General features: G+C 39.8%; 1 protein-coding gene across 21 annotated transcripts in view, besides 1 other annotated feature; it reads right to left on the bottom strand.

Annotated features, from left to right (window-relative positions):
- Positions 1 to 14,272, bottom strand: part of AUTS2 (activator of transcription and developmental regulator AUTS2) — a 1,195,032-nt gene that overhangs the window by 898,951 nt on the left and 281,809 nt on the right. The window lies entirely within an intron of this gene.
- Positions 4,632 to 4,761: an enhancer, noted in NCBI's record as "active region_26104". NCBI's record gives its function as "activates an Ori minimal core promoter by ATAC-STARR-seq in GM12878 lymphoblastoid cells {active_cell/tissue: GM12878}" and the evidence as "EXISTENCE:reporter gene assay evidence [ECO:0000049][PMID:35858748]".

The following is a 14,272-nucleotide window of genomic DNA, read 5'->3' as shown; positions in this document are numbered from 1 at the left end:
TCATTTATTTTAGTTACTTTTCCACAACGGCCACTCTGTTCAACCTACTAAATAAGGATTCAAGATTTGCCACTTTTTGGGTCTTCACTTTCCTGTGGGGGCTCCTATATATGTGTCAAAATCCATATGCTTTTCTTCTGTTAATCTATTTTACATCAATTTAATACTCAGCCTCAGCTAGAGACCCTAACAGGGTAAAGATAAAAAAAACTGCCTCCCTTACACAAGCACTAGGAGAGAAAGGCAGGAGGGCAGAAGGATAAGAAAGAAATCTGTTAAAAAAAAAAAAAAAAAAAAAAAAAACGCTTTAAGGCATTCATTTGACAGTCATAGAAGAAGCAGGAAAGAAGGCAAGAAAGCCAGGGAGCCACCAACAAGAGGCTGGCTGAGAGGCAAAAAGATTTAGACATATTGGCTGTCAATAGAGGGGGTAAGTGTACAAGCCATGCACAACAGATGTGAATAGGTTTGGAGAATAGTTGAAATTATGTGATTTTTAGGTCACTGGTGATGGAGGGCAGGGTCACAGTAGCACATATATGGAGAGGCTCAGAGACTGACAAAGGCAATTTCCTTCAACACCCCGCCTTCTTCAAAATAGGCGATCTTGCTCTTGACTTTCCCTTCTCCCAAATTACAATCTTCCACCAAAGGCCTCCTCGCCACTCTTGAATTTCAAAATGAGATGGTTCAGTGTTGTGCAAACTAAGGGAGAGTAACAAATAGCAGATGAAACACTATGTAAGCTGCAGGGCTCCATTTGCTGATTACAGATGAAGCCAGAGACAATAGAAAATGAGGGCACAATTTGTCTGCCTTGCATGAAGTGGGTTATAGAAAGTCTCCGCCTGATTTTTCCAAGCAAACTAACCTGAGGGCAGTCCATCACTTACAAAGTATTTGTGGTATATGTGTCTGCATGCACCCAAATGCATGTATATGTATGTGAGGGGCTTGCAATTTAAACTGAGCCTCTTCTGTTAGTTATCTGATCTTAGAGACCTTAAAGAAAATAACAAGCCAGGAGAAAAAGAAAAAAGTGCTTTGCCTGTCCCCAATGACACAATGACATAATGGCTGTGTCCTGTCATTTTGGTCTGTCAAGTCCCTTGCTGGTTTATTGTATACCATTTGTACTTGTTTTTGAATGGTTTTACAAACACTGATTCTACCAATAATGAGTCTCCAGTGATAAGAAATGAAAAATTAGAAAACTAGTAACTAGATAGATATGTTCACAACAGTCCCCAACTTTGGACTTTTGAGCAAATGGACTTTATGAACAGATTTTCAGAGCCTAAACTTTTTAGAAAGTAGAGAAGACTACTATCTGTAGGAATGTACAAGGCATCCAGGATGGCATTCAAACATTAATCCCTAAGATTCACATCTTTTAAAAACAAATATCAAAACACCTACTATGTGCATACACATTGCCATCTGTTGGAAATATCTAAGAAAGAATTCCTAAACTCAGGCTGCTTATCCAGGGAAACAGGCTAATCAGTGAACTATTATAGTAAAGTAGGTTAGAGGAGGAGCAAGTCAGGTGCTCTGTAGTGCCATCTTTCACACCACATTAAAATTGCATCACTATATTGGCATAAAGATAGAAAAACAGATCAAAGGAACAGAATAGTCCAGAAAGAGACCCACACATATATCAACAACTGATTTTCAGGCAAAAGCTATTCTACAGAGAAATAAGTTTTTTAAACAAATGGTGATAGAATAGGTAATCATATGCAAAATTTTAATCCACACTTCAATCTAAATAGAAAAAACTAACACAAACTATATTATAAACCTGAATGTAAAACCTAAAACCATAAAATTTCTAAGAGAAAACTCTTGTAATCTTGGGTTAAGCTAAGATTTCTTACTATGACACCAAAGGCATAATCCATAAAAGAATAAATTGATAAATTACACTTCAAGAATTAAAATTTTGCTCTTCAAAAGATACTGTCAAGAAAATAAAGTGACTGTTCTGTGAGTTACCAGGAGAGTAAAAGATACATAAATAGATAAGCCACAGAATGGAAAAATATTTTTTAAAATGTGTATCTGATAAGTTTTGTATACAGAATATATTAATTTAATAAATTCTTGGGCCAGGTGTGATGGCTCACACCTGTAATCCCAGCACTTTAGGAGGCCAAGGCAGGCAAATTGCCTGAGGTCGGGAGTTCGAGACCAGCCTGGTCAATACAAAAATTAGCTAGGTGTGGTGGTACGCGCCTATAGTCCCAGCTACTCAGGAGGCTGAGCAGGAGAATCGCTTTAACCCAGGAGGTGGAGGTTGCAGTGAGCCGAGATTGCACCACTGCACTCCAGCCTGGGCGACAGAGCAAGATTCCATCTTAAAAAAAAAAAAAAAAAAAATTCTCAAAACTAAAAAAGGAAACAACCCAATTTTTTAAATAAGCAAAAGATTCAGATACTTTGCTAAAGAAGATATCTGGGGCCAGGTGTGGCAGCTCATGCCTGTAATCCCAGCACTTTGGGAGGCCAGGGCAGATGGATCACAAGGCAGGAGATCGAGACCATCCTGACTAACGGGTGAAACCCTGTCTCTACTAAAAATACAAAAAAATTAGCTGGGCATGGTGGCATGCACCTGTAATCCCAGCTACTCGGAGGCTGAGGCAGGAGAATCGCTTGAACCCAGAGGGCAAAGGTTGCAGTGAGCCGAGATTGTGTCACTGCACTCCAGCCTGGATGACAGAGAGATACTCCATCTCAAAAAAAAAAAAAAAAAAAAAAAAAAAAAAAAAAAAAGATATCTGTCTGGAAAGTGAATGAATACATAAAACAATAGTTAACATCAGTAGTCATTAGGGAAATACAACTTAAAACCACAATGAGATACCACTACATACATATAAAATGGCTGAAATAAGAAAGAATGACCCTACCGAGAGTGGGCAAGGATGCAGAGGATGCTCATACATACACTACTGGTGAGAATATGAAACAGCACAACCACTTTGGAAGAAAGTTTAGTAGTTTCTTTAAAAGTTCTAAGTACACCGACCATATGATCCAACCGTTCTACTCCTAGGTATTTCCCTAAGAGAAATTAAAGTACATGTCTACATGAAGAGCTACACATGAATGCTCCTAGCAGATGTGCAATGCTTCTAAAACTGCAAACAACCCAAATGTACATCAATAGATGAATGGATAAACAAACTGTGGTTGTAACCAATCAATGGAATACTACTCAGCAATAAAAAGAAATAACCTCCTGATACAGGTGGCATGAATACGTCTCAAAATAAGTATGCCAAGTGAAAGAAATCAGACGGAAAAGATTATATTATGTATGATCCCATTTATATAAAATCCTAGGAAATATGAACTAATTGATAGCAACAGCAAGCAGGCTAGTGGCTTCCTGGGAGAGATAGGAAGAAGGGATTATAAAGGGACATAAGGAAACTTTTGGGGTGAACATGTTCGCTGTCTTGATTGTGGCAGTGGTTTCATGGGTATATACACATGTCAAAACTCATCAAATTGTATATTGTTAGTTTGTGCAGTTTACTGGAATGTAAATTATACCTCCATAAAGCTGGTTTTTAAAAACCAGGGGCCCTTGCCGTCATGCACAACTGGCATATAATTATCCCTAACAACTAGATTACATTCAGTTTTCATTAAAAGAAACTCATCTTTTAGAATCCTAAAACCAAGGGATGACCACGTCTGGGAGCACTGGCTTTAGGCCATAAAGTAGCCATGAAATTTCCACTGGAGACAACTCAGTTGTGAACACGAATGTCTTGACTGAGGAGCACTGCCTGGCCTTCACCTCATTTTCAGTGACAAGGTAGAGTTCGTATTTTTTTTTTTTTTTCATTTTTAACAGCCAGTTCTCAATTATTATTCAGAGGCTAACCTTTTGTAAAGTTTTCTTATCTTTCTATCTGGTAGCCTGATTACTGTTTGGCTACATCCCCTCCCATGAGCACGTTAGCCAATAAGCAAAGAAAGAAAATATAAATAAATTTTACTGCTCCTAAAATGTAAAAGAATTGAGGCAGTTTATTAAAACATACTTAATGTATATAATGATACACATATGGAATCTAAATAAAGATGAGAGGGACAAGGTTTAAAAAAATAGATCAGGTACAGATAAATTCAACATATAAAAGGCACCTGTCAATGCTGCAGTGCCACTGTCAAAGGTGAGAAGAGAACAAAACAAAAAGAAAACAAAACCACACACTGAGAAGCTCTCCTAAACTCAGCTGTGGGATGAGGTCACGACTATCCGTTTAAGTGAGATTTTTGCACACTCTGTGAATTGAAAACATCCCAGGAGTCTCCCATTCCCACAGATAATTGAGAGTTGGCTGCCGTTAGACCTTAACACGCTCAAAGTAGTTGAGTCCCTGGCAACCAGATGCTATTGCTTAAAACAGTTTAGGCTCTCAGCCCTGAAGGATTCCTAAAATTGGATTACAGTCCCTCCAGATAATCTGAGAAATACAGCATGACGAAAAGGAAACCTTAAAAAAAAAATTAACTCCTCCGTAACAACAACATTCTGAAAGCTGAGCACAGCATGACTGAGGCAGAAAATCTCATCAGTGAGGGCTTAGGGCAATAACGTACACAAAGGACGAGTCCAAAAAGGCAAAAAGAACCATACAACAGAAGATAGTGTAATGGCAGCCAGAAGAGAAACTAGCACCACACAATTCTCAGGCCTCTCCAAGGGCAGAAGCCTGGTATGCTAACTGAAGAAAGACAAGCAGAACACTCAAATTTCGATTGCTTTTTCTCCCACTTAAATCTAATCCACTAAAGTAACACACGCACACATTTGAGAGGATGTGTAATTCTAATGATACTTGCTTTAATTAACCATTATTCTTTTTACATGTAATATGTTCTTTTTAAAAAAAATCTGACTAGACATTTTTCCGAAGAAGACATACAAATAGCCAACAAGTACATGAAAATGTGCTCATTAGTCATCTGGAATATGCAAATCAAAACCACAATGAGATGTCATCTTGCACCTGTTAGGACGGGTATTATCAAAAAGACAAGAGGTACTTGTCAGTGAGGGTGTGGAAAAATGGGAACCACTGCACACTGCTGATGGTAAAGTAAGTTGAAACAACCATTATTCATTTTTTGATTAAGCACTGTATGCAAAAGATAGGAAAAGAATTAATGTACTTATTACAGTGTATCAAAATATTGGTAACTGGATCTTCCTGGTAATACTCAGAATTACCTCCATAAGGACAATGGCTATGACTTCATCATGCCAGAATTCCTAGCAGAGAACAGAGTAGAGGACACACAGTAACCTGTTTATAAAAGAATGAATTAGAACTGGACCTGGTAGTGCATGGCTGCAGTCCCAGCTACTTGGGAGACTGAGGCTAGACAACTGCTTGAGCCCAGGAGTTTGAGAACCCTAGGCAACAAAGCAAGAGCCCATTTCTAAAAACAAAAACTTAAAGGAGAATGAACTTGTGAAATTAGGATGCCCTGAATGTCCTCTCATTCTGAAGCTGTTGGGCCATGCTATGAATTGTACTACTCCATCACTCTTCCCCTCTCGGACTTCCATCCAAGACTTTCAAACACATTATCTAATTATTTCTGTTATAGTTTATTTGTCCCCTCCAAAACTCATGTTGAAATATCCCCAATGGGTGGGCCTGGTGGCTCATGCCTGTAATCCTAGCACTTTGGGAGGCCAAGGCAGGTGGATTGCCTGAGCTCAGGAGTTCGAGACCAGCCTGGGCAATATGGTAAAACCCCGTCTCTACTAAAATACAAAAAATTAGCCAGGCGTGGAGGTGTAGTCCCAGCTACTCGGGAGGCTGAGGCAGGAGAATCGCTTGAACCCAGGAGGTAGAAGTTGCAGTGAGCCGAGATCGCACCACTGCACTCCAGCCTGGGTGACAGAGTGAGACTGTCTCCAAAAAAATAATAATTTAAAAAACCATACATATATATATATATATATATATATATATATATCCCCAATGTTGGAGGTGGGGCCTAAGAGGAGCTATTTGGGTCATGGGATTGGATCCTTCATAAATAGATTAATGCCCTCCCTCATGTCGAACTCTAATAGAACTAAGAGAGGTTCTTACTCTGTTAGTTCCCACACGAGCTGGTTGTTAAAAAGAGACTGGTACCTCCCCCCATCCTCTTGTTTCCTCTCTCATCATGCGACCTCTGCACACACTGACTCCCCTTTGCCGTCCATCATGAGTGGAAGCCACATGAGAACTCCACCATAAGCCAAGCAGATGCCAGCACCATTCTTCTTGTACAGTCTGCAGAACCATGAGTGAAATAAACCTCCTTTCCTTATAAATTACTAGCATCTAGTATTCCTTTTTCTTGTTTTTATTTTTACTTTTTTGTAGAGACAAGGTCTTGCTATGTTTCTCAGGTTGGTCTCTAACTCTGGCCTCAAGCGATCCTCCCGCCTTGGCCTCCCCAAGTGTTGGGATTAGAGGCATGAGCCACTGCACCTAGCCTCAGGTATTCCTTTGTAGCAACACAAAAACAGACTAAGACACATTACCACATCCATATCCCGGATAAACCATTTCTATTCCCCTATATGCTAAAGAGGGGATGAACAGATGCCTAGAAATAACATAAATCGCCTTATTAACCCCAAGAGAAAAAAAAATGAAAGAGGCCAATGAATGTTAGTTCTAAACATCTTTTTCATGGCTTGATATCAAGGCCAAATTATAATTTACTGGATCTCAGTACCTCACTATTCACAGAAAAATCAAAAGTGGTTGCAGAGGTTGCAGATATTCCACAGAATAACTCTGATTAGCCAGTGAAAATCTATTCAGATCTTCAAATTGATCCTGATTAGTAATAAGTCACATACTTTCCTTTTCTTTCCTAAAAATGTTTCGCTTTCTTCTCTTCCCCAGGTATTCACATACTATCACACCTTCACTTTAAGTGAACAATGTCTCTAGAAGTATTCAGCAACTAGCTCACTGATTCTATTGTAGTTACCGTAAGTGATAAGTGTAAAATGATTACTTCTCTGTCCTGGAGGAGGCCTTCTAGCTTCCCTTCAGCAACCTTCTCTGAGTTTCCATTACTTTTTTTTTTTTTTTTTTTTTGATGAAGTCTTGCTCTATTACCCAGGCTGGAGTGCAATGGCACAATCTCAGCTCACTGCAACCTCCACCTCCCGGGTTCACATGATTCTCCTGTCTCAGCCTCCCATGTAGCTGGGATTACAGGCATACATCACCATGCCCGGCTAATTTTTTGTATTTTTTAGTAGAGACGGGGTTTCACCATGTTGGCCAGGCTGGTCTCCAACTCCTGACCTCAAGTGACCCACCCGCCTCGGCTTCCCAAAGTGCTGGGATTACAGGCGTGAGCCACTGCACCTGGCCCCAGGAAGACAATCAATAAGTATGTCTAGCTCTGGCTTTTAAGATGTCAAATCTGGCTATGCACGGTGGCTCATGCCTTTAATGCCAACACTTTGGGAGGCCAAGGCAGGTGGACTGGCTTAAGCCCAGGAGTTCAAGACCAGCCTGGGCAACAGAGTGAGACCCAGTCTCCAGAAAAATATTTTTTAAATTAGCTGGGTGTGGTGGCGTATGCCTGTAGTCCCAGCTACTCAGGAGGCTGAGGCAGGAGGACTGACTGAGCCTGCAGTGAGCCATGATCACACCAATGCATTCTAGCCTCGGTGACAGAATGAGACCCTGACACACACACACACACACACACACACACACACACACACACACACACAAAGAAGTCAAATCTGCATTAACAGGCAGCAGAGAACTCTTGATATGTGACTTTGGTTAAGGTTGGTTGCATTGTTCTAGAGGCAGGGGTGGTGGCTAGAAGTAAAGAACTACTTCACAGAGTGGCCCATTTAGGAAAACAAAATGATATGAAGGGTGGGGAAGAGAGAGACATTCTGTCCACTCAGCAGACAAGAAACAATTTTATGAAAGACAATTTAAAGTTTAGAGCTATTCAGTGGTATAAAAAGCAACTTCTGGCAAAATTTGTGTTATGTGGCTCTGAATATAAACGCAGTTTTACACAGCATATCAGGAAGTGTGTGTATATATGTGAGGCAGTCCTTTTATGACTCAAGTTTTTCAAGAGGTTTTGTCATGTTTCTAGAGAACTATGGAATAATTACTACTAAAGGAATAATTCTGTAACTTTCTTCCAACTTTCCAGAAACTGTTGTCAACTTCCTATTGAAGATGTGCAGGCATTCCTTCTCTTACAGAGCAGTGACATAGAGAATCAACATGAACAAGTGCATATATGCCTATTAGTATTCCACGAACAATTGCTACATCCTTTCTCAACCTAATTTTGATTGGCTTCTCAAGGGCAGAGACCAATCTACCTCAATACCTATAAATGTAGGGTCCTCCTCTTAGGTTCCTTCAGCCTCTCTAATGTTACCATACTGGGAGGCTATTTAGCACACAAAAAATATCAACAGATGTAACTTAGAATTCATCAATTCAGTGGAGGGTTTGCCTCCAGAGCACATTTTCCAGCCTTTCAAATATCTCTGTGAGACTTCTCTTATGTATACGTACTCTTCAAGCTCTCTTGTCCTAACTGGGTTTTGATTTAAGAACTAAACATAATTTACTGAAAGGTCAGACCATTTCTGAATATAAAGCGAGGACTAATTTATCTTTTTCATAACCATTAATGTCTGCACAACAACTCAGCATTGGAAAAAGTTTACAGTATCTTTTAAAATAATCACCTCATTGAATTCTCTAATAGCTCTCTAAGCAGGCACCATCAGTTTTATTTTATACATGAGGAAACTAAGGCTGGGTAAACAAGTGACTTTCCAAAGTGAGAAAATCAGCAACTGGCAACACACCCAGAGTCCCTTGGCTCTAATCCTGCTTCCACTGCCTAACACCACGTCATTACAGATTTATTTCTAAGTGCCAAGATTAGGGTCTTTTGTTGGAAGGAAATTTTAAATTACAGTTTAGTATTGTCTCATTATAAAAATCCTTCTGTGCACCTCCACTTCCCCACCGAAGTGTAATTAGGGAAAGGCTATGCCTCCTAAGTCAAATAGCCGAACTCCTTCTGAAAAATTCACATTGTCAATAAAAATCTAGACAGAAAATAAAAGCTTTGGCTTTTCTGTAAAATTGACAACCTTCACCGATTTATTTAAGAGGTGAAAAGTGGCAGGGAATGACACCTTTCTGACCTTAAAAAAATAAGAAGCTGTAAATATACTCTAGACCCTGAATTCCATATGTTCTGCCTATGTGACTCAATAAATATTAATGAATAATGATGAAAGCTATAAATACTCGCGGCACAAAAAGTAGAAATTCCTGTTCAACACATATTGCAAATAACCTATCACTACATGAGAAACATATATGGGTTTCATGGAAAGTTTTCCAAGTCTTAGAGCTTGTTCACACAGCTATGACTCTGTACTTGCCTTCCCTCTCTCTCAATCTTCACCCCCAGTCTTCTATTTCAGGATTTATCCAGACAGAATTTTCTTTCCCTTGGCATCATATAGGTAAAAATAAAACAAACTATCCTGCAGGTTTTCAGAGACACAGAAAAGTGCTTAAGATATACCCACTGACCTGAGACATAGACCAAATAAACTCCTCAAGCTATATCTGCAGTGAGAATAAATTAGACCCTACAATTACGGTTGAGGCAAGAAAAGAGACTGTCCTTTCAGTTGGCTACTACATTGACTTGAAAGATGAAAGGCAGTGTCAGTTTGCACAAGGGAATCAGATGCTGTGAGGCAATTAGGTCATGCAAAGATATCCAGATTTTTACCTAGTTTCTTAAACAAGCCACAGGCTTGTCTCTAGGCCAAAGCTTCCTATAGATAGATTTAGTGATGTTTAGGTACTTATTGGTTCTATCAGATTTGATAATGGAATCAATCTCTCCTTTTAGAAGCTCTGGGTTAATGGCAAAGTTTATTAAACTGCAGGCAGTCATTCAGAAAAGATCAATAGAGACATGATTACAGGGTAACCAGAGGATTAAACGTGAGATTTATCACAAAATTAAACTGAATTAAATGTTCTCTGATAGCACTTGAAATGCTGTCGATACTTTTAAACTCATAATCTATGCTTTCTGTGTTTATCTAATAGGCAATAGGGATGTCTGATTTGAGAAAATGACTGCTATATAAAAACATAAGGCACATAGATTTGCTGAAAGCAGTAAGAATGCTTTCTGCAAATGTCCTCTCATTTTTTAAGAAGCTGCATTTTAGTTTATCTGTAAGAGCTGTCCACAATGAGCTCAGCAGAGTTTTGAGTTACTAAGTACATAACTCATTCTGTCCATGTCTAAAGCATGCCTATACATCCTCACAGGTATCTACCTTAGAAACTGTGCCCACAGATGACACACTTTAAACAATTTCCTTCCATGCTCTCACAAAGAAGCATGTGTTATGACATTGGCTGTTGGTCCCATAAGGAAGTGGGCTGGAGGATGTCATCTGGATGTAGGGAAATCAACCATTCCCCATCCCAGAAGGATTTATTGATGTCACCACAGGCTCAGCAAATTATATTCATGAAAGTGAAATCCCCATCACAGCCTATGAAAACCACTCACTAAACAAACTGGCAAACGCGTATATATTTGTAATCGGTAGAGGAGTCAATACACATGGCGGCTGTTAAAACTGGCATCAGTACCACAGTGAGAGAGAACAGCTCTGCAGGACCTGAAATGATAAAGGCCAGGCCTGCTGTGTGAGGTTGGGAGGGTGTGTGCATGAGCAGATGGGTTAGTCGGGAAATCAGTTTGGGAGCAAAAATTGAGCCTGTGGTTTAAACTGGGCCTTGGATGGCAGCATGTTTGAGGGAGACTTTCCTTTTTCCCATGTCCAGTTTCTATCTTGTTGCCAGCACACTTCATCCCAAAGATGGCATCGGCCCTGCTCTGATGACCAGCAGATTCTGGTGATTTCAACATTAATCCAAAATGACAGCTGTTTTGTCAAGAGAGAGAAGAGCTGGGTTGGAAACAAGATGCTGACGCTGGTACTACCCTGCAGTTTTATCATTCCCTCATCAGCATACTGATTTACACAGAGCAATCAGTTTTCTTCTCAGCAGTTATCTAACCTTACAGCACCAATGAGTACTATGGATAGTCTCAAATATTTCTCAGTTCTTTGGGAATAAGAATATCTTCCTGCCTGCTAAAGAAAAAAAAAAAAAAAAGGAACTCTATGCTCCACCCCGAAGCTGAGGCTGCTTTGAAGTGCACAAAGCTGGCTCCTTAATCAGTTGCTTAGATTACTTCCCACCATAGAAGCTTCATTCCAGGAAAATAGACCACTTCACTGCTATCCCTACTCTTTATTGGTGGCGGTTACATCTGAGTCCGAGAACTGGCTTTCCCACCTTCTGGCTTTACGAACATGAACAAATGCCTTGGCCCTTATGAGCCTCCATTTCTTCTCCTGGAATACAGGAATAGAAAGTTTAATGAAATTTGTGGAAAGTGCTTGGGATACTTCCTGGTACAGGCAGTAAATAAATTACAAATAAATGTGAGGAATTCCTCTTCCTGACTGATACAATTAATGACTGGTAAGTCATTAAAAAGGGAAACTGTCATTCTAAAAGGTTACATTTGGCATTGGAGGAACAATGGTGGGATCTATTCTCCATATATCCTCAAGATTGTGTTTAATGAGTGTCATTGAATGTGCCAAGCAACATACTGGATATTTTATTTATAATACCTCATTTAATTACTACAATACCCTGTGAAGCTTCAGTTTTCTCATATATAAAATGGAGCGAATAATATCACCTAACTTATGAAGCAGCTATTAGGATTAAATTAGTTAATGTAATGCCTAGGATGTATTAGGAGTTCAGTCCAAATTAATTATTTTTATTACTATTAATTAATATTCCCAAGGTCACATAGCTATGAAAAGACAATACCAGGACTCAACACAGACCTGCGTGGCTCTAGCATTCATGTTCTCATTCATGTGAACAGAACTGAAAGCAGAAGCCTAGAATGTGGTCTGAGCATGACCCAGGACTTATAGTGTTGCCTTGGGGTTGCAGGTTAACATACTTCTCTATTCCATTTTTGTTTTTATTTTTAAGATGGCTGTATTACTTGGCCTATTTTTTCTTTTCACTTTTTAAAAAAATTATTTACTTATTTATTACATTGAGATGGGGTCTCATTATGTTGCCCAGGCTGGTCTCAAACTCCTGAGCAAGCAATCAATTCTTTCACCTCAGCCTCCCAAAGTGCTGGGATTACAGGCATGAGCCAGCACGCCCAGCCTATCACTTGGTCTTTTTTTTTTTTTTTTTTTTTTTTTTTGAGACAGAGTTTCGCTCTTGTTGCCCAGGCTGGAGTGCAGTGGCCTGATTTCAGCTCACTACAACTTCCGTCTCCCAGTTTCAAGCGATTCTCCTGCCTCAGCCTCCTGAGTAGCTGGGGTTACAGGCGTGCACCACCACTCCCAGCTAATTTTGTATTTTTAGTAGAGATGAGGTTTCACCATGTTGGCAGGCTGGTCTCAAATTCCTGACCTCATGTGATCCACCCACCTCGGCCTCCCAAAGTGTTGGGATTACAGGTGTGAGCCACCACGCCTGGTCCACTTGGTCTATTTAACCTGAGAAATAATGCGAAGAAAGTACAATTTGCTCCTTGAAATACTAGCACCATATAAAGTTCCAGCATTTCTTCCTAAATCTGCCTTCTGTAATTTATGAGACATGCAAATAAGAGAAAGTTCTGAGACAGGGCTGTGGGGGGAGGCATTTCCTATCACCATATGGAAAGATGGAAACTTTAGGAAAGTTTGGCATGGGAAGAGAGCAATACTTTGTACTCCTGATAGATCCAAAATTAAAAGGACCATCATGTTAACTGCTACCAGAGAGAGGCAAAAAGAAGTCCTGAAAAAGCATTTACCACTGATTCTATCATTAATCTCTTTTCAACTGCTTTAACTTGCTGGCTTTCCAAATGAGACATCTGTCCATTTCCAAAAAGAAAATAAATGCATACAAAAATAGTTACTAGGTGCAGCTCAACATGAAAATATTACCTACAAGGCCTCCTGCCAGAGCCTAACCATTAAAAAAAAAAAATGGGTTTATTGGATTCTTTTAGGGAACACCTCAATGTAACATCAAAAATCTTCCCACACAAGGCTTAATGGAACAGGGAAAGACGGGGAAAAAGGAGAGGAAAAAAACTCTCCTTCCCAGCTGAGTACTGACACATACAGTAAGGTTTGGGAGGCAACTTTATGTGCTCTTACTAGTAGATTAATGAATGTAATTACCTAGCATTGTGGCTGTGAATGCTGCAAAAACTATAATTTATAGAGTGCTGTAAAGTTCTAATGTGTTTTTATGTCCATAAGCTGCTTAACCATAATCTAATGCATTTGTACAAGAACAGCCTAAGTGGCTCTCAGCTCAACAGTGAACACAAGTGTCTGAACCTTGGCGATTCTACTCATACGTCTTTATAATCCAACCTCGTGTGGTAGGCATCTGAGGGAAACAGCTGCTGAATTATACAAATAATTCTAGAGACAGTGACAAGGCTCTCTGCCTCTCTCACCATGAGAGGAGCTTCTGGCTGACAAAGGGCTGCAGGCTTTAATTAAATGCTGGAGTGGTTCTGTACATGTTTGGTGGTTACTTTTTCTTTTACCACCATTGTCACCACCCTCTCCTCTACTTCATCTACCCTCATCCAGGGTTCTCAGAGGTGGGAGAGAAAGAGGAAGGAAGTGATAAGAGCACAAGGAGAAAACAAATTATCTATCTGAAAATATCTTACCTGATTTCCCGCTTCGAAAAGGCTCAAAATGTCTAAATTTTCCTCTTTTTCTGCCATTATATTTGCAAGGAAAGGCAAGTACAGCTAAACAATTCTGACACCTGAGGCAAATTATCCTTTGAGATTGCCTTAGTCAGGGGTTTGAAGCATCTCACATGATCCTCTGGATAGATAATTATGATGATGAGGAGGAGGATGGTGGTGTTCACTGTGGTAGTGAATGCTAATGAAGAGCTTATCACCTGCCAAAATCACATGCCCACCACAATTCTGTATGCAGGTACTATTAACAATCCATTTTCCCAGCTGGGTGATATGGTTTGGCTTTGTGTCCCCATCAAAATCTCATGTTGAATTGTAATCCCCAGTATTGGAAGTAAGGCCT

This window comes from Homo sapiens, chromosome 7 (genome assembly GCF_000001405.40).
Source record: "Homo sapiens chromosome 7, GRCh38.p14 Primary Assembly".
NCBI classification, from domain to species: Eukaryota; Metazoa; Chordata; class Mammalia; order Primates; family Hominidae; genus Homo; species Homo sapiens.
This window is presented reverse-complemented; position numbering and strand designations above follow the sequence as displayed.